We start from the raw sequence: 21141 nt of genomic DNA, 5'->3' as shown, positions 1-21141 counted from the left end.
ACAACCTAAGTGTTCTGATTTAGCCCATTGGACAGATAGAAATGGAGGCACAGAAGATTCATGTGTTTAACTTCAAACCCTGGCAGATTAGGTTTTTCATCCAGAGCCTGTGGCTTCACCATAGCTGTGATTCACGTTCTGTCATTTTCCACTTTAGGAATTTCCAGTATTCCAAATATGAGAAGCTGAGAAAACAAACAACAAACTCAAAACCCTAAAAACCAGGATACATAAGGGTAGATGTTTGTTGGGTGTGGATTTAAAATGGACTTTTTTTGCCCCAAGCAACAAAGAGGCACCTTAGAAAATAGACAAGAGACAAGAAGAAGAGAAGCTTTAAGAGATATTTGGTCCAAGGAAGAGACTCTTCAGATGGAAGGTCACATCAGCTAGAAACATTAATATGACTGGATGGGCTCAAACCACTGACTTTTCAGTCAACATCCGACAGCACTAACCCAGTGTTCCAGAGACACTGCTTGTTAAACAGTGAAAGCTGTTGCTCAATTGTGTCATCCGTAATTGTCAAATATTGCCATTTAGTAGCACAAGGAAGTATTCTCCGTTGCCAAGCTAGAGTACCCATAACTCTTCTGTTTTGTTGAACATTCTTCCCCACCACAAACCCTCTTTAGAAGACTGGGGGCCCCTAAAGCATTGAGGCCGAGAGTCCCGTCCTTGTGCATGTTTGGGCATTGACCCAGGGCCAAGTCAGTGGGAGACTCCTCCACGCCTACGCCAGGTCCCCAGGTGACAACTGCAGTCTCTGGATCTGAAGTCATCCACTTTCCCATTCCTAGCTCACCTCACCCATCGTGAAGCCTGGTTAGTATTGCCAGAGACCCGAGTGGGCAGATGCCCACACCAAAGACAGAACCTGCTGTGTGCCCACCTTGCTGATCCCTCCCTCCTTCTAGACAAAGGCTTCATAAGCCAGGGACCTTGGGTTTGCTCACAAGGCAGCCCCTCACCTAGTAGGCATTAGTTCATTATGTATATGTATATGTAGTCCTCAGATTGTATTCCTTAAATATATATAATTTAAGGATATGTATTTTATATATATAAATATATATGTAATTCCTTAAATATATAATTTTAATACAATTTTTTTTTTTTGAGACGGAGTCTCACTCTGTCTCCCAGGCTGGAGTGCAGTGGCACCATCTTGGCTCACTGCAAGCTCCACCTCCCAGGTTCACGCCATTCTCCTGCCTCAGCCTTCCAAGTACCTGGGACTACAGGCGCCCGCCATCACGCCAGGCTAATTTTTTTTTTTGTATTTTTAGTAGGAATGGGGTTTCACCATGTTAGCCAGGATGGTCTCGATCTTCTGACCTCATGATCCACCCACCTCGGCCTCCCAAAGTGCTAGGATTACAGGCGTGGACCACCGCACCTGGCCAAAACAAAGTTTTTAAAAGATTCCTTTAATAAACATTTACAATAACATCAAGAAATATAAACGACATAGCAAATATGTGAAAGCCAGCCAGACTCTCAATGGCATCCAGAAACATAAACTACATAGAAAAGACATGAAAGCCAGCCAGGCTTGGCTTCGAATCCCAGCACTTTGGAAGGCTGTGGCAGGAGGGTTGCTTGATCTCAGAAGCTTGAAACTAGCCTAGGCAACATAGTGAGCCCTCATCTCTACTGAAAATCAGAAAAATTATCCGGGTTTGGTGGTGTGAGCCTGTAGTCCCAGGAATCAGTGGATGAGGCCCTAGGATGTCATAGGCCTGAGAATTCCATGCTGCAGTGAGCTGTGATTGTGCCACTGTACTCCAGCCTGGGTGAAAGAGTGAGATCCTGTGCAGAAACAAAAGAAGAAAAAAAGAGATATGAAAGCCTATATATTGAAGACTACCAAGTACTGCTTAGAGCAGTTAAAGACCTTTGGAATAGAAAATGTTTCTTCTTGCATTTCAAGATTGCTTTTGTTTTGGGGGGACACACTATTTTTTAGGAATATGAAGTTCTTCTTAGGCATTCCTGTAAAAAAGGCCACTTCTTGATAGGATTGTATTGAATCTGTGGGTTGCTTTGAGTTGTATTTTTATCTTAACCATGTTACAACTTCCAACCCATGGACACAAGATGTCTGTCCATTGATTTAGGTCTTCCTGAATCTCCTCGAGCAATGTTCTGTAGTTGTCTGTGTACAAGTACGGCACCTTCTTGAACAAATTTATTCTCAGGCATATTATTCTTACAAGTGCTATTATAAATGAAATCATTGTGTCAATTTTCTTCTCAGATTGTTCATTGCTAACACAACTGATTGTTTGCTGAAAGTTTGCTGAATTCACTTATTAACTCTAGTAGTGTGTGTATGTGAGTGTGTGTGTGTGTGTGTGTGTGTGTGTGTGTCTGGCCTCTGTATGCATGTATGTGTGTTTGCATCTGTAGGTATTATTTGGGATTTTCTATGTATAGGATCACAACATCTGCAAATTGAGATCATTTTGTTTTCTGTTCAAAAATACTTTTTCTCATGTTTATTTTTAAAAGATAATTTGGCCAGGTGTAGAATTGTAGGTGACAGTTTTTCTTTTTTTAAGTTCTTTATTGCAAACTTCTTGTTTGTATGAGAAATCTTATGCCATCCTTATATTTAGTGCTCTGTATGTAACATGTTCTTTCCCTTTTTATTCCTTTTAGGATTTCCTTTTTATCACTGGTTTTGATGGATTTGATTAAGGCGTTCCTTGGTGAAGTTTTCTTCATGTTTCTTGTTCTTAGAATAATCATATTTCTGTAATATTTGAAGTTTATGGTTTCCATGGAGCTTCTAAATCTTTCATCCAGTATGTTTTAAATATCTTTGTCTCTCTTCTCCACTACACGCCCTTCAGGGATTCCATTTAGCCCTATACTGGGGGGTTTAAAGTTTTGATGCCAATGGTCTTTTTATGTTTTCAAGTCATTTGTTACTGTGTGTTTCATTTATGTTAGTTTCAACTTCTATTCCTTCTAGTTCAATAATCTTCTCTTCTGCAATGTTTAATCCACTGCCTTCTTCCATTTCAGACTGTAAATCATACTTTTTATCTACAGAATTTGATATTTAAAAAATCTTCAACCTCCCCATTTAATTAAAATACAATTATACTAACTGCTCTAATGTCCTTTTCTTCTATGTCCAACATGTCTGTCAATTTCAACTAGATTATTAGATTCTTCATTATGTGTCATGTTTTCCTGCTTCTTTGGCTGCTTCATATTCTTTTATTTTTTTTTTTTTTGCGGGGGGATAGAGTTTTGCTCTCATTGCCCAGGCTGGAGTGCAATGGTGTGATCTCAGCTCACTGCAACCTCCACCTCCCAGGTACACAAGCGATTCTCCTGTCTCAGCCTCCCAAGTAGCTCAGATTACAGGCATGCACAATCATGCCTGGCTAATTTTTTTGTATTTAGTAGATATGGGGTTTCACCATGTTAGTCAGGCTGGTCGTGAACTCCTGACCTCAGGTGATCCATCTGGCTGCTTGATATTCTAAGATTTGATGCTGGAACTTTGGTGTCAATGCTCAAAATGCCCAAAGACACCACTCAACCTCAGTGTCTATGCACACCCAAGCTTTTGCAGCAGGACAGGTAGAGCAGAGATGAGTGTGCTACAACATGCTGGTAGAGGGTACCCCCAATTGTGCTTGGGGATTTCCTATTCCTCATGGAAAAATGTGTCTTCCTTAATTTTTCCCATAAGAACCACCCTACTTCATGCCCTGTCTCTCTGTCCAAACACCAGGACAGTCCTCTCACCAGTCTCAACCACCCAATGGATTGACAAAGGTGCAAATATGATTCAGTGGAGAAGGCATTCTCTTGTCAACAAATTGTGTAGAAACAACTTTTTTTTACACAATTTTTTTTTTATCCCCAAAGGAAAAAAATTCACCTGAACCTCAATACTAACTCAAAAACTAACTCAAAATGGATTATGCAACTAAATATAAACTATAAAACTAGAAAAAGTATAGCAGAAAATATAAGACAAAATCTTCATGACACAGAGTTAGGTAAAGTGTTCTTTATTATCAATAAACACAAACCATTAAAGAAAACATTGATAAATTCGACTTTATAAAAATTAAGTTTTTGCTCAACAGTACTAAGAGAACAAATATAAGCTGCAGTTTGGGAGAAAAACAGTGGAAATCACCAATATGACAAAGGGCATGTGTGATAGTTACTTGTACTTGTCACTGTGACCGAGCACCAGGGTGCCAGGACATTTGGCCAAACATGATTCTGGTTGTGTTCCAGAGAGTCTTTCAGATACGATTAACATTGGGATGGGCAGACTAAGTGAAGCAGATTGCCCTCCTTAATAGGGGTGGGCCTCATGCAATCAATCAAGGGCCAGGAGAGAATTAAGAGGCCTAATGGGAAACAAATGCTTTCCTGGGTATCCAGCTTTCCTTCCATCTTGGGAATTTCAGCCTCCATAATCTCAGAAGCAAATTCATGTATATATATACACACACATATACATTTCATAGGTATGTGGCTAAGATTGTATTTTTACAAGTTCAGCCACGAGATTGGTGAAGCCAGCCAATGAATAAGGGTGTGTTCTATTATACGATTCAGTCTTCTTTTGTAAACGATTGAAGTTCTGCATTTGAAGTAGGAGGATAGGAGGGAGCAAGTCCACCTAGGATGATAACAGCTGAATTTCTCAACATACACTTCAGAGCCGTAGGGGTCAACTTAGAGACTCAAAAATCTCACCCATAATCCTGCCCCTAAACACCAGGGCTAGGGAACACTGTGGCCCTCAGGTGATTTTCTTTAGCCAGGTCTGGGAGCCACACGACGGCAGAGGGAGCAGGAAACACTATGCAAATAGAGGCCAGGACAGCAGGGAGGGCCTGTTCATGATAGAACCCAGGCAAAACTATCCTCAGAAAGCGAGTGTGGAGAAACATAGATCATGCCTGAGACCTGGTGGATTAGAGCACTGGCTACTGGGGAATTGAAAGGAAGGGGCTTCACCGTGCAGAGGACCAGAGGTGCCAATCTTGGAAATGCAGAATTACTGGGAGATGGGGAGGCACGGACCATGGAAGTATCCTCTGGAGACTCATGGTGAAGAGAACAAATGAGTGAAGTAACTGGCAGAAATTAGAGGTCCTGGTAGAACAAAATCGAATCCCACAATGAGAACATACACCATGTATGTCCCCCAAGGAGGACAATATCTCCTAAAAACTCCAGAAAAATCATTTTGGGCAAGCACCTTATATCTAGTAATGCGATCCATGTATCGAGACCGTGAGAAAAGATTATTAAACATGCTAAACTCAGCGAGACCTGATTCCCTCATGAGGACTCTGTTAAGGATGAGTACCACTCAGCAAGTGATGACTGTGACATTCACTTTTGAATAGCTCATGAGCGTTAATATATTTCATTGTGGATCTAAACCAAAAACCAAGGTAGGGGCAAGATGATAATCACAGAATGTCACCGGTATATGTTTAGGTTCAAATACTATTATGAGAAGTGGCAGGTAAAGGAGGTAGGAAAAAGAAAACACATCATGTAATTGACTGTTGTATGGAAATATTTGATGCTGAAAGTTATAATTTAAAACTATAAACCAAATATTAGAAGTGTGTCTAGTTCAAAGGGAGGAAAACCATCAAAAACATTTTTAGTGCAATATTTAACATGAGCTATACAACCCTTCCTAAATGCCAAAGGCACACACAGACACACACACGCACACACACACTCTCACACTCACGAAGAATACAAATGACTAGAACCAAGAAATGTAAACACATTCTGCTACGTATGGTAAACATAGCCTACAATGTGGAAGAGATTACAAAATAAACATGGAAATGAAATGTTTTTATTAATTCGCATCAGTACCCACCAAAACCAATCAGCATAATCAAATATTATAACACTGAATGTGAAAAACAATCCAAAAGTCCAGAGTGATAGGCAAAAGGTTTTAATTGTATAGATTAAAATTAACTTTGGACAAAAATTAAAACTCAGGCAGAGAATGTTTTCTTCTTTTTGCAACAGCAGACACTAGTAAAAACAAAGGCACAGTAAAAATTGAGACCCAAAATTTGCAGTGTAGAGATATGAATATAATAATAGACACAGGCAGGGAGGATTAATAAATGATAAAATGTTTAGAGGATGATCATTAGAATACAGGATATTTATACTCTTGAAAACTGCTTTCCCAAGTACTTCATTATAAGTAAGGTGTCTCTAAAAGGGACAGATCTCCTAGACCCCTCCTTAACCAAGTAACCAGTCCTGATATCATAATGGTGATGGACAAACTAGACCTTCTCTGCCCGCAGATGGGCTGAGGTTGGAAACTCACAGCATTGTCTCTGCAGTGTTCCCGGCAAAACGTTTAGGCTGAATTTAATCATGAAGACATTTTCAGACAACTTCAGAATGTAGATCATTGAGCCAGACAGCTGACCTGTCCTCTATAAACAAGTCCATGTCACCACCATCCATGACAACAACAAAAAGATGAGGAAATATTTGGGGTTCAAAATAACTAAAGAAATGCAGCTACATTATCTTTTTACTTTTTTTCAACCGAAAATATCTCTTCTCCTTTTTGTTGTGTGATTTGTGGTGATATGGACTATGTGAAGGAGACAGGTCAGTTGTCCTGCTCAGTGTTCTACATTCTGCAGTTGTCTGGTGATTACCTCCTATGAAACTCAGGTTAAGCGTTTTCTGCAAGAACATGGCATTGCTCATATTCTGCACCGGCAGAGTCCTGGGTGACATGCTGTCTCCTGCCAGCGGCTCCTGACTCCTGTTCTCTACAGGATGGAATTGAGAGGAGCAGGGCTAAGGCCTCCCAATGCTGTTTGTCCATCTAGCTGTGGTCTTCCTAAGTACTGACACCAATTGGAGGCTGAAGGACTGTGGCTTCTCTAACCAAAGGAGCCTAGCGGGTTAACAATTGTCAAGAGCAGTTGGTGGTTCTGAAATACAATCCTCAGCCAAGGATCCCTCCTGTGTTACAGATGGATCAGCTAAAACAAGCCAACACTGAAGACACAAAGAATGAGGTTAGGTTCATTGAAACCAGGGTAACACCTTTGGATGAGCTAAACACAAAGATGACAATGACCTTGAGCAGGTATAGAAGCTCAGAGACATGCCTGCAAAATGAAATCCCTGAGGAATTTTGTAGCTACCCAGAGATACGTGGTTCAAATTAAAATGTCCGACTGATCACTCCCGGCATGTGCTGCACAGTTATGTGAACGTGTCACACCTAACGTGGGTCCATTGTCTTCAGACTGAGCACAGGTTGCCACTGGCATGCTCTGAGAATAGGAATAGAGCCATGCCCACTGACCCATCCTATGTCTGGGCTTCCAAATGGAACTATAGTTTCATTCAAATCTTCAGGCGCCTATAGGTCCTGCCTGCAGGAATGACACCTCTCGGCTTAGTAAGGGCTGCTTATTGTGGGAATATGACTCCCATCTGGAAGACCAGATAGAGACTTGTCACCGTCAAAGTAAAGAACCTATTGTCCATGTCAAGGGCAAAGCTGATGTGCTGTTCCTCAAATGAGTAAAACACACTTCTGTAGTGCTGGAATGAGTCACGTAGTTCACAGTACATTGATGGAGTCGAATAACATCTATCCAGTGAGTCCTGTAAGACTTCAGGCTCTTCCACTTCCATCAGCACGCTGTTGAGCCTGGAAAAGGAGACAAAACTAAAGAAGCAGCCAGGGAAAATCAGACACCACAGAGCCCCACTAGATTTCAGAAGTAACATAAGGAAGTGGTTAGAAAAGAAAAAGGACAGATCCATTAATGAGGTAACAAATTATTGCCTTTATGTTGGGATAGAACAGGGCCAGGTAGAAAACAATGAAAGAGAAAGACAGAGAGAGAGAGACAGAGACAGAGACAGAGAGAAAGTGACCTAGTGAATTGGCCAGTTGACATACTGGTAAGGGAGTAAAAGGACACTCTGAGTTAGTGCCCTCATGACACACAGCAAACTGTGATCATGAAAAGAGTGAGCTCAATAGTTTTCCATAAAATATGCTCAAAATTCGATGCAGTGGCCATGAGAGTACAGCTTTTGAAGTATGGTCAACCTATGGTACGTTAGGAAATGATAAGGGGAGGAAGAAATGGAAACCTAAACATCTACTGCAATGAAAACCAACAGCAATGACAGTAGGAGTAATTCAGTCTTCGTTGAAAACGTGACATCAAACACACTCTGGTTTCCCTGAATCTGTTGCCTCCAGGTGTTAACACAGAATTAAGCATCCACAATTGCTGAAAGTTACCTGGGGCATGGTGGGTTTTGATCTTCTTCCCCTTCTTTTCTTCCCCTTCTTCTTTTCTTCTTTGATCTTCTTCCCCTTCTTATCTTCCCCTTCCCCTTCTTTTCAATTTCTGCAATAAATTCAGACATGGACAGACACATTAAGCTGATTCCCCTACACACATAACAATCCACTGTCTAATCCTCACACAGGGACCTCAGGCTCCTCAGCATAAGAATAGGACACTGTGAGAGATATATTTCAGGAGGCCTGAAGGCTGGTCATGATAGAAATTCCTCGGTTTTTCTCCCAGAAACTGTGGGTAAAATGTCCCTATTCTAGTAGATCGTTATCCCAATATCATTTGTCCCAAGTTTGTGCAAACAGTTATGCCATATTTTTCCAATCAACTTAAAGCAAATACCCTCAAATGATTTCTAGGAGAAAAACTGCAATATTTAGCCCTGTCTCATCAAATACTCAGATTGTTCATGGTTGTGAGGACTTTAGACACTGAAATTAGAGTGAAAAAGGAAATCTACAAACCCTTGAGTCAAAATCATAGTTCTCTGAATTTGTCACATCTGCCCAGGTCCAATGTCATGAGAGTAGGATCAGGGCGCCACAGGTATGGCCTGAGACTAGGAAGAGAGTCTTGCTCACTGACCCATCCCTTGTCTGGGCTTCCAGGTAGAACTAGAGTTTCATTCAACCTACATGTGCCTATAGGTCCTCCCTGTGGCAATGACATCTCTCAGCTCAGTAATGGCCACTTGGAGCAGGAACATGATCTTTATATGGAAGACTCAGTGGATCCTTATCACCTTCATAGAAAGGTACTCACCTCCCACGTCAAGAGAAAAGCCAACATGTTTTTCCTCCAATGCATAAAAGGAACTTCCATACGGCTGGCAGGAGTCAGGCTGTTCAAGACAACTGGAAGGAGTTGAATAACATCTATCCAGTGAGTCCTGCAAGACTTCAGGCTCTACTACCTCCAGCAGCTCCCTGCTGAGCCTGGAAAAGGAGGAAAAAGTAAAGAATACGCCAGGGGAAATCAGACACAACAGAACCCCAAATAGGTTTCATGGGTAGCATAAGGAAGTGGTTAAAAAAGTAAAAGGATAGATCCATTAATGAGGTAACAAATTATTGCCTTCATGTTGGGACAGAACAGGGCCAAATGGAAAAGAATGAAAGAGAAAGACAGACAGACACACACACACACACACACACACACACACACACACACACACACAGAGAGAGAGAGAGAGAGAACGAGCTCAGTGAATTGTCCAGGTGACACACTGATGAGGGAGTAACAGGACACTCTGAGTTAGTGCCCTCAGGACACACAGCATACAGGGATCATGAAAAGACTGTGCTCAATAATTTTCCATAAAATGTGCTCAAGTTTCCATGCAGTCGCCATGAGAATACAGTTTTTGAAGTCTGGTCCACCTACAGTAGGTTAGTAAATGAGAAGGGGAGGAAGAAATGGAAACCTAAATATCTACTGCAATGAAAACCAACAGCAATGTTAGTAGGAATAATTCAGGCTTGGTTGAAAAGATGTAATCGATAATGTCAGCCCGCTCTGTTTTCCCTGAACCAGGAGTCTCCAGATGTCAACACAGAAGTAGCTGTTCACAATTGCTCAGTTACCTGGGGCATGGTGGGCCTTGGTCTTCTTCCTCTTCTTGGTCCTTTTTAATTCCTGCAATACATTCAGACAGGGACAGACAAAATAAGCCAATTCACCTACACCCATAACAGTCCACTGTCTAATCCCCACACAGGGATCTCAGGCTCCTCAGCATGAGAACAGGACAATGTGAGAGATGTACTTCAGGAGGCCTGAAAGCTGGTCATGATATTCTTTGGTTTGCATCTCAGAACCAAGGGTGAAATATCCCCCTTCTGGTAGATCGTTATCCCAAAATCATTTATCCCAAGTTTGTGCAAACAGTTATGCCTTATTGTTCCCATCAGTTCAAAGAAAATGCCCCAGATGATTTCTAGGAGGAAAACTGCAGTATTCAGCCCTGTCTCATCAAATGCCCAGCTCGTTCATGGATGCAAGAATTTGAGACACTGAAATTAGAATGAAGGAGGAAATCTACAAACCCTTGAGTCCAAATCATACTTCTGTGAATTTTTTACATCTGCCTGGGTCCAATGTGCTGAGAGCGGGCTCAGGTTGCCACAGGCATGGCTGGAGACTAGGAATAGAGCCTTGCTCACTGACCCATTTCATGTCTAGGCTTCCAGCTGAGACTACAGTCTCATTACAACCTATATGCGCCCATAGGTCCTGCCTGCGGCAATGACATCTCTCGGGTCAGTAAGGGCCACTTGGAACAGGAATATCACCCCTATCTGGAAGACCAGGTGGAGGCTTATCACCTTCATAGTAAGGTACTCACTGTCCACGTCAAGAGCCAAGCCAAGGTACTGTTCCTCCAATGAGTAAACAGCACTGCTGTAGGGCTGGCCTAAGTCAGGCAGTTCAAGATAACCTGAAGGAGTCGAATAACATCTATCCAGTGAGTCCTGCAAGACTTCAGGCTCTTTCTCATCCAGCAGCTCCCTGCTGAGCCTGGAAAAGTAGGAAAAAGTAAAGAATAAGCCAGGGGGAATCAGAAACCACACAGCCCCAGCTAGATTTCATGGCTAACATAAGGAACTGTTTAAAAAGAAAAAGGACAGATCCATTAATGAGGTAATGAATTATTGCCTTTATGTTGGGATAGACCAGGGCCAGGTAGAAAAGAATGAAAGAGAAAGACAGGGAGAGGGAGAGAGAGAGAGAGGAGAAAGTGAGCTCAGCGAATTGGCCGGGTGACACACTGATGAAGGGGTCAAAGGACACTCTGAGTTAGTGCCCTCGGGACACACAGCGAACAGTGATCATGAAAAGAGTGGGCTCAATAATTTTCCATAAACTTGCTCAAGACTCCATGCAGTTGCCATACAGCCTTTGAGGTATGGTCAACCTATAGTAAGTTAGTAAATGATAAGGGGAGGAAGAAATGGAAACCTAAACATCTTCTGCAATGAAAACCAACAGCAATGTCAGGAGGAGTATTTCAACCTTCGTTGAAAACATGAAATTGAACACACTCTTGCTTTCCCTGGACCTGGCATCTCCAGGTGTCAACACAGAATTAAGCATCCATAATTGCTCAAAGTTACCTGGGGCATGATGGGTCTTGGTCTTCTTCCACTTCTTGGTACTTTTCAATTTCTGCAATAAGTTCAGACATGGACAGACATATTAAGCTGGTTCTCCTACACACATAACAATCCACTGTCTAATCCTCACACAGGGACTTCAGGCTCCTCAGCATGAGAATAGGACACTGTGAGAGATATTCTTCAGGAGGCCTGAAGGCTGATCACCATAGAGATTCCTTGGTTTTTGTCCCAGAAACTGTGGGTAAAATTCCCTATTCTGGTAGATCGTTGTCCCAATATCATTTGTCCCAAGTTTGTGCAAATGGTTATGCCATATTTTTCCAATCGATTTAAAGCAAATGCCCCCAAATGGTTGCTAGGAGAAAAACTGCACTATTCAGCCCTGTCTCATCAAATACTCAGATTGTTCATGGTAGCGAGGATTTTAGACGCTGAAATTAGAGTGAAGGATGAAATCTACAAGATCTACAAAATTGAGACAAAATCAGAGTTGTGTGAATTTGTCACATCTGCCCAGGTCCAATGTCATGAGAGTAGGATTAGGGCGCCACAGGCATGGCCTGAGACTAGGAAGAGAGCCTTGCTCACTGACCCATCCCTTGTCTGGGCTTCCAAGTGGAACTAGAGTTTCATTCAACCTACATGTGCCTATAGGTCCTCCCTGTGGCAATGACATCTCTCAGCTCAGTAAGGGCCACTTGCAGTAGGAATATGACCCTAACCAGAAGACTCAGTGGATCCTTATCACCTTCATAGAAAGGTACTCACCATCCATGTCAACAGCCAAGCCAACACGCTGTTGCTCCAATATGTAAAACGCACTTCTGTAGGGCTGGCATGAGTCAGTCAGTTCAAGGCAACCTGAAGGAGTTGAATAACATCTATCCAGTGAGTCCTGCAAGACTTCAGGCCCTTTCTCATCCAGCAGCTCCCTGCTGAGCCTGGAAAAGTGGGAAAAAGTAAAGAATAAGCCATGGGGAATCAGAAACCACACAGCCCCAGCTAGATTTCATGGCTAACATAAGGAAGAGTTTGAAAAGAAAAAGGACAGATCCATTAATGAGGTAACAAATTATTGCCTTTATGTTGGGATAGACTAGGGCCAGGTAGAAAAGGATGAAAGAGAAAGACACACACACACACACACACACACACACACACACACACACACACACACAGTTCGAGCTCAGTGAATTGGTCAGGTGACACACTGATGAGGGAGTCAAAGGACACTCTGTATTTGTGCTCTCAGGACACACAGTGAACAGTGATCATGAAAAGCCTGTCCTCAATAATTTTGCATAAAATGTGCTCAAGTTTCCCTGCAGTTACCATGAGAATACAGCTTTTGAGGTATGGTCAACTTTCACTAGGTTAGTAAATGATAAGGGTAGGAAGAAATGGAAACCTAAACATTTACTCTAATGAGAACCAAAAAGCAATGTAGTAGGCGTAATTCAGACTTGTCTGACAAGACAAAATCATTATTTTCAGCATGTACTGTTTTCCCTGGACTTGGCATCTCCAGGTGTCAACATCAAATTAACTGTCCACAATTTCTCAGACTCACCTGGGACCTGTTGCCTCTTGGTCCTCCTTTTTCACTTGATCCCACCGATGTCCTGCAAATAAATTCATATGGGCCCTCTTACATTAAGCAGTTCTTCCTTGCACACAGAAACATTCCTCTGTCCAATCCTAACACAGGGACATCAGTCTTGTCAATGTGAGAACAGGAGACTTTGAGAGAAATATTCCAGTAGGCCTGAGGTCAAGTCTTGAGAAAACTGGCTTGGGTTCTTTCATGAGCCTTGGGCAAAATTCCCCTGAGTTGGAATGTTATCTTCCCTATGTGCTCTGTCCTAGGTTTATGTACACAAATGAGCAATTTTTTCCCCAATAAATTGTAGGCAAATAGTTCTAACACCTCATAGGAGAGATACTTCAATATTAAGCTTTCTCTCATCAAATACCCAGAATTTGATAGTTTATGAGATTGTGGACACAGAGATTTGATGAGGGGGTGCAATGTACCAGCTCTTGAGTCAAAATGAAACTTGGTTCTACACAGAAGCATCAGCTATTATGGCTTTTGTGGGTGAAAAGTCAGCCATTTATCTAGAAAACATACCAGGAACATGACGGACAGATGAGCTAAAGCAAGCGAACTTAGAAGACACAGAAAATGGGAATAAATTCAGTGAAACCTGGGTCACATCTTTCACTGAGAGGTAGACAAGGGTGACACTGGCCTTGGGCAGGTAAAGAACCACACAGACATGCTTTGGGAACAAAACTCATAAGGAATTTTGTAGCTGGCAAGAGACATTTAATTCAGATGAGCTGAGCTGACAGACAACTCCTGGGCATGTGCTGCATAGTTTGGTGTGAGTTTGCCACACCTGCCTTGAGTTCAATATCGTGACAGTCAGTCCAGGTTGGCACGGGCATGGCGTGAGACTAGGAAGAGAGCAAAGCTCACTGACCCACCCCATGCCTGTGCTTCAGACTCGACTCCAGAGTGATTGAAATCTACATTGATATATAGGTTCAGCCCACAGTGATGGCAAATCTCAGCCCAACAAGCGGCACAAGGCCCAAAGATTATGGGGTCTACCTGGGCCATGAACTGGAGCTTTATCACCTTCACAATGGAGTACTCACTGCCTATGTCAACAGCCATGCAGACTTGCTGTTCCTCTAATGAGTGAAATGTGCTGCTGTAAGACTTGTACGAGGCCAACATTTCAGGAGGAATTGAGAGAGTCGAATAACCTTCATCCCAGGACTCCTGGGGGACTTCCTCCTCTTCAGACTCCTGCAGATTCCTGATGAGCCAGGCAGGACAGGGATGATAGAAGATTTAACCAACAGACATTAGACAACAAAACCTCCCAGATGATCTGATGGGAGACAGAATGGAGTGGTCACAGAAACCAAAGGCATTTTTCCTTCAAGAGAAATAAAACTATCCTTCTAAATACAGGGTGGAGGGTGACTGCTCTGGGGACAGAGCAAAAATGGGCAGCATGTGCTCAGTACATTTGCCACAGATGAGCCAACTCAGGGCACCCAGACTCTCCCTGTAAACTACCATCATGACTTGCAGCACAGAGAACTGACACAGGGCTTCAACTACTTTGCATAAATTGGGTTGAATTTTACATGCAGCATTCAAGTGAAGAGAGTTCTTGACGCAGTGCAGACACAGATCTTGTGTATTAAGGGCCCCATTTTCCCAATATTTTGATATAATATATTTACTTTTTCAATTTCTTTTCTTGCAAAAATACTAGCCAACATACTACCAACAAATAGGAAGAAAGCATATATACACCTCTCCCTGGATTTAAACACATGGGAGAGAATAGGCAACACCAAGAAATCCCTGTTTGAGGGTCTGGAGTGGACTTCCAGCAAACTCCAACAGACCTGAAGCTGAGGGACCTGACTGTTAGAAGGAAAACTAACACACAGAAAGGAATAGCATCAACATCAACAAAAAAGACATCCACCCCAAAACCCCATCTGTAGGTCGCCATCATCAAAGACCAAGGGTAGATAAAACCACAAAGGTGGGGAGAAACCAGAGCACAAAAGCTGAAAATTCCAAAAACCTGACATCCCTTCTCCTCCAAAGGATCGCAGCTCCTCGCCAGCAATGGAACAAAGCAGGATGGAGAATGACTTTGATGAGCTGACAGAAGTAGGCTTCAGAAAGTCGGTAATAACAAACTTCTCTGAGCTAAAGGAGGATGTGCGAACTCATCGCAAGGAAGCTAAAAACCTTGAAAAAAGATTAGACGAATGGCTAACCAGAATGAACAGTGTAGAGAAGACCTTAAATGACCTGATGGAGCTGAAAACCATGGCACGAGAACTATGTGATGCATGCACAAGCTTCAGTAGCCAATTCGATCAAGTGCAAGAAACGGTATCAGTGATTCAAGATCAAATTAGTGAAATGAAGCGAGAAGAGAAGTTTAGAGAAAAAAGAGTAAAAAGAAATGAACAAGCCTCCAATAAATATGGGACTATGTGGAAAGACCAAATCTACGTTTGATTGGTGTACTGAAAGTGACGGGGAGAATGGAACCAAGCTGGGAAACATTCTTCAGGATATTATCCAGGAGGACTTCCCCAACCTAGCAAGGAAGGCCAACATTCAAATTCAGGAAACACAGAGAACACCATAAAGATACTCCTCGAGAAGAGCAACCCCAAAACACGTAATTGTCAGATTCACCAAGGTTGAAATGAAGGAAAAAATGCTAAGGGCAGCCAGAGAGAAAGGTCGGATTACCCACAAAGGGAAACCCATCAGACTAGCAGCAGATCTCTTGGCACAAACCCTACAAGCCAGAAGAGAGTGGGAGCAATATTCAACATTCTTTTTTTTTTCCATATGTATAGTTTTCCTTTATTATTTTTTGTGTGTATGTATATATATATATATATTTTTTTTTTAATACTTTAAGTCTTAGGGTACATGTGCACAACGTGCAGGTTAGTTACATATGTATACATGTCCACATTGGTGTGCTTCACCCATTAACTCATCATTTAACATTAGGTATATCTCCTAATGCTACCCCTCCTCCCTCCCCCCACCCTACAACAGGCCCCAGTGTGTGATGTTCCCCTTTCTGTGTCCATGTGTTCTCATTGTTCAATTCCCACCTGTGAGTAAGAACATGCGGTATTTGGTTTTTTGTCCTTGCAATAGTTTGCTGAGAATGATGGTTTCCAGCTTCATCCATGCCCCTACAAAGGACATGAACTCATCATTTTTTATAGCTGCATAGTATTCCATGGTGTATATGTGCCACATTTTCTTAATCCAGTCTATCATTGCTGGATATTTGGCTTGGTTCCAAGTCTTTGCTATTGTGAATAGTGCCGCAATAAACATATGTGTGCATGTGTCTTTACAGCAGCATGATTTATAATCCTTTGGGTATACACCCAGTAATGGGATGGCTGGGTCAAATGGTATTTCTAGTTCTAGATCCCTGAGGAATTGCCACACTGCCTTCCACAATCGTTGAACTAGTTTACAGTCCCACCAACAGTGTAAAAGTGTTCCTATTTCTCCACATCCTCTCCAGCATCTTCAACATTCTTAAAGAAAAGAATTTTCAACCAAGAATTTCATATCCAGCCAAACAAAGCTTCATAAGTGAAGGAGAAATAAATCCTTTACAGAGAAGCAAATGCTGAGAGATTTTGTCACCACCAGGCCTGCCTTACAAGAGCTCCTAAAGGAAGCACTAAACATGGAAAGGAACAACCGGTACCAGCCACTGCAAAAACATGCCAAACTGTAAAGACCATTGACGCTAGGAAGAAATTGCATCAACTAACGGGCGAAATAACCAGCTAACATCATAACGACAGGATCAAATTCACACATAACAATATTAACCTTAAATGTAAATGGGCTAAATGCCCCAGTTAAAAAACACAGAATGGCAAATTGGATAAAGAGTCAAGACCCATCAGTGTGCTGTACTCAGGAAACCCATCTCACATGCAGAGACACACATAGGCTCAAAATAAAGGGATGGAGGAAGATCTACCAAGCAAATGGAAAACAAAAAAAGGCAGGGGTTGCAATCCTAGTCTCTGATAAAACAGACTTTCAAACAACAAAGATCAAAAGAGACAAGAAGGCCACTACATAATGGTAAAGGGATCAATTCAACAAGAAGAGTTAACTATCCTAAATATATATGCACCCTATACAGGAGCACCCAGATTTATAAAGCAAGTCCTGAGAGACCTACAAAGAGATTTAGACTCCACACAATCATAATGGGAGACTTTAACACCCCAGTGTCAATATTAGACAGATCAATGAGACAGAAGCTTAACAAGGATATCCAGGACTTGAACTCAGCTCTCCACCAAGCAGACCTAAAAGACATCTACAGAACCCTCCACCCCAAATCAACAGAATATACATTCTTCTCAGCACCACATCACACTTATTCCAAAATTGACCACATAGTTGGAGGTAAAGCACTCGTCAGCAAATGTAAAAGAATGGAAATCACAACAAACTGTCAGACCACAGTGCCATCAAATTAGAACTCAGGATTAAGAAACTCACTCAAAACCGCACAACTACATGGAAACTGAACAACCTGCTCCTGAATGACTACTGGGAAAATAACAAAATGAAGGCAGAAATAAAGATGTTCTTTGAAACCAATGAGAAAAAAGACACAACATACCAGAATCTCTGGGACACATTTAAAGCAATGTGTAGAGGGAAAATTATAGCACTAAATGCCCACAAGAGAAAGCAGAAAAGATCTAAAATTGACACCCTAACATCACAATTAAAATAACGAGAGAAGCAAAGCAAACAAATTCAAAAGCTAGCAGAAGACAAGAAGTAACTAAGATCAGAGCAGAACTAAAGGAGATAGAGACACAAAAAACCCTTCAAAAAATCAATGAATCCAGGGCTGGTTTTTTGAAAAGATCAACAAGAAAACCCTGTTTGGCTAGTTCACCTGGCTCATCTGATGGCAAGTTCCTATCTTGAGAGGACTATGAAATTAAAACCAATACAAGTGCCACAAATAACATACAACATTGTAAATCAGCACAATTTGTAGCTGGGTGAATGGAAGAAATAGTTCTATTCATCACTTCCTCATTTTCCCTAAATCTACAATCTCCAGATGTCACTACTGAATTAACAGCCAACAATTCCACAACATTACCTGGGAGACACTGGTCCTTTTTCTTCCTCTTCCTCATCATCACTTTCATTTTCTGTAAATAAATTCAGAGAAGCAGGTCACATTAAGCAATTCATACTTCACATATGAACAAATCACTGTCCAATCATAGCACAAGGACATAACTATTCTCAGTGCAAGAATAAGGATTCTGACAGGAATATTCTAGGTTGTCCTAGATTAACTTTGGTGAGAATTAGATGACCCTGCTTTCCAGACCCACAGGCCAAAATCTCCCTCTACATGTAGACCATAATGCCATATTCCCTGCTTGAGTCAAAGTTAAACAAAATTTTTTCCCCAAAAAAATCTCCAAAAATTGGTCAAACAATTTTCTAAGAGTGTTGCTGCGATATGGACTTATATCACCAGGTAACATGGACATTAAATGTTTAGAGGCATCTATACATGAAACACGACTGATAGATAAATTTGAACAACTCTTGCTTTAAAAAGAATCTGTGATTTGGGAGGCCAAGACAGGTGAATCATTTGAGGTCATGAGTTCAGGACTACCCTGGCCAACATGGGGAAACCCTGTCTCTACTAAAAATACAAAAATTAGCCAGATGTGATGTTGTGCACCTGTGGTCCCAGCAACTCAGGAGGCTGAGGCAGGAGAATCACTTGAATCTGGGAGGCAGAGGTTGCACCAAGCCAAGATGGTGCCACTGCACTCCAGCCTGGGTGACAGAGCAAGACTCCATCGCAAAAAAAAAAAAAAAAAAAAAAAAAAAAATCCACGATGCTACAAAGAAACATTGGATCAGCCATTGCATTGACAGGGTGGAGAACCAGGGTCCAGCCTTGCTTTATGGAAATATATCAGCAAAGTAAAGAAGAAAAGTTTCCGTACTGATTTCAGGGTGACTGTGCAGCTAAGCAAGCTGACTTAAAGGAGATCCAGATGAAAGCTGAGAGCAGTGAAGCCTGGGGAACAATAATTCCAAATACAAAGGCAAGGCTGCCAGCTTCCTTAAACAGGCATAGAAACTCCATGGACATTGTTCAGGGACAGATGACTTAATCACAGATGACAAGAGATACTGAATCGAAGCTAGGAGGCCTGACAGATACTGCCTGTGCACCTCCTGCACTCAGGTGACTATGAGATTGTCACACTTGCCTGGGGTTGAGTAACTTGATACTGGGGACTGGCAGACAAAGTCATGACATTAGCTGTGAAGGACAAAAAAACTCCCTGATATCTGTTTAGAAACCCATCACAGTTTTTTATTCAAATGAATTTGTGTTTATAGAGCCTGTCTTCAGAGTTTATCTTCCTCAGCCTAGAGAGAGGTATGAGACACAAGGAAAACAGAGGCTACCTGGAATAATGTGTACAGCATCCTCCCATTCAACATGAGAGGATGAGCCAATGAGAGCTGAGTCGACTTTGTCTTCCTCAAATGTGATTTTGGTTTTCCTATGTGGCTGGTTGGAGTCATAAGGGCCATGGCTATTTGAATAAGTGATGGCACATTCCTCCAGTGAGTCCTCAGGGACTTCCTTTTCTTCAGCCTTCTGCATCTCCCTGATGAGCCAGGTGGGACAGAGATGACAGAAGATTAAACACAGAGGGATTGGACCCCAGGGAGTCCTAGCTGGTTTTGACAGGCGGCATTAAGAGAGTGGTCCCAGAAAGCAAAATGGAGGTTCCCATTAAGAGGGAACATGCAATCCTGTTCTCTCTGCAACAGAGCATGGCTGCCATGGGAACCAGAGAGGAAGAGAGCAGCTGCTGTTCATTGCACTGGACAGATAGGAGCTGAGGAGGATGAAGACTCAGCTATCCCTGTACGGTACAGACATGACACTCGGCACACATAGAGAAACATGACAGCTACCGCACCCTGTGTCTAAGCTGGGTTATATTTCACATACTGTGGCTAAGCAAATGCGGGTTTTTGACCCATCATAGATGCCAGAGAGGGTGTGCCTCCTAGATATTCCTCATATGTTACCATCCATTAATTGTTCCTGAGTATTCAGTGTTACCTGGGGGCAGACGATTTCTGCACTTTCTCAGCCACCTCAACTTGAACATCTTCATCGTCATCGTTGTCATTTTCTGTAAATACAGAAGTGTTCGTTCAGATATTTCCCACTTCACAGTCTGCAAGCACAGTCAGCCCAATGTGCAACAGAGACATGAACATCTAGGCATGGGTCACCGTTCAACTGAAAACTCTCATGTTTTATCTTTAACAGAATGCCCTGGCATGGTTTCCTGATCCATCAGGCAATGCATTTCTGATCTGGAGGGCCACCATCAAGATGTGGCCAAATATTGAAAAGACCTTTTGCTTCCCATATCACTGGAGGCTTGTGCAGCCTCTCTCTGGACGTTGGCAGCTGTCTCCCCCATCCTGCCAGATCTGATTCCCAGGCACAGGCTTGGTGTCCTGTCACGGTTTGCATTTCAAACCTAATTCTTTCTCTTAGAAGCAGACAAACTTGTCCCACAGTCCTCTATGCATCAGAAGATTTCAAGCCTCCAAGTGGCTTCTGCTGTGTTCTTCAGGGACATTCTATCCATGGGGAGCGCTCCAGTCTGAAGCACTTCCTACCACAAAACGCCCCCACATAAAGTGCCTTCTCCAACATCACACGGCGAGGGCCTTCATCTCATTTTGGAAAGCAGTTGTAAGTGTTCCCACATTTGAATGCTTCGACCCTTGCAAGAGACAATTTGTCTGCCACGGAGAGAGAGAAACTCAGGAAGGACAAGTCATTCACTCTCTGACAGTTACTAAGAACATTGCCGAAAAGACAGCCTGGGAACCTTCATTCTTAGTCCAGAGCTCTTTTCACTCTAACAAGCCTGCTCCCATCGCAGCCTCCTTCCTGTCCTTTAAAACTAGACAGATGCTGCCTCTTGCTCCA

The 21141-nt window shown here is 42.3% G+C and overlaps 1 protein-coding gene and 1 pseudogene across 7 annotated transcripts in view; one reads left to right on the top strand and one right to left on the bottom strand.

The window, feature by feature from the left end:
* PDE4DIPP2 (PDE4DIP pseudogene 2) overlaps positions 1 to 4070 on the top strand; it is a 195809-nt pseudogene extending 191739 nt beyond the window's left edge. For both annotated transcript variants that reach the window (NR_144517.1, NR_144516.1), the window contains one exon: positions 2665 to 4070. The product of NR_144517.1 is annotated as a PDE4DIP pseudogene 2, transcript variant 2 (transcript). The remainder of the gene's footprint in view (positions 1 to 2664) is intronic.
* NBPF8 (NBPF member 8) overlaps positions 4022 to 21141 on the bottom strand; it is a 54650-nt gene continuing 37530 nt past the window's right edge. For 2 of the 5 annotated variants that reach the window (NR_102404.3, NR_102405.3), the window contains 11 exons: positions 20254 to 20326; positions 19584 to 19789; positions 18238 to 18289; positions 13074 to 13125; positions 12272 to 12444; positions 11501 to 11552; positions 10732 to 10904; positions 9971 to 10022; positions 9150 to 9322; positions 8327 to 8435; positions 4022 to 7720 (listed from right to left, as the gene is read on the bottom strand). Coding sequence is in view for 3 of the 5 variants with exons in the window: in NM_001037501.5 (NP_001032590.2) it covers positions 7477 to 7720; positions 8327 to 8435; positions 9150 to 9322; positions 9971 to 10022; positions 10732 to 10904; positions 11501 to 11552; positions 12272 to 12444; positions 13074 to 13125; positions 14168 to 14331; positions 18238 to 18289; positions 19584 to 19789; positions 20254 to 20326 (1523 nt within the window). In the remaining 2 variants the exon portion in view is untranslated. Of the gene's footprint in view, positions 7721 to 8326; positions 8436 to 9149; positions 9323 to 9970; positions 10023 to 10731; positions 10905 to 11500; positions 11553 to 12271; positions 12445 to 13073; positions 13126 to 14167; positions 14332 to 18237; positions 18290 to 19583; positions 19790 to 20253; positions 20327 to 21141 lie in introns of those variants that run through there. The other 3 variants (NM_001037501.5, XM_047429836.1, XM_047429843.1) reach the window with 3 other exon arrangements.

The sequence above is a fragment of the Homo sapiens genome, chromosome 1, assembly GCF_000001405.40.
Source record: "Homo sapiens chromosome 1, GRCh38.p14 Primary Assembly".
NCBI classification, from domain to species: domain Eukaryota; kingdom Metazoa; phylum Chordata; class Mammalia; order Primates; family Hominidae; genus Homo; species Homo sapiens.
The sequence above is the reverse complement of the archived record's forward strand: the minus strand, read 5'-3'. Positions and strand labels throughout refer to the sequence as shown.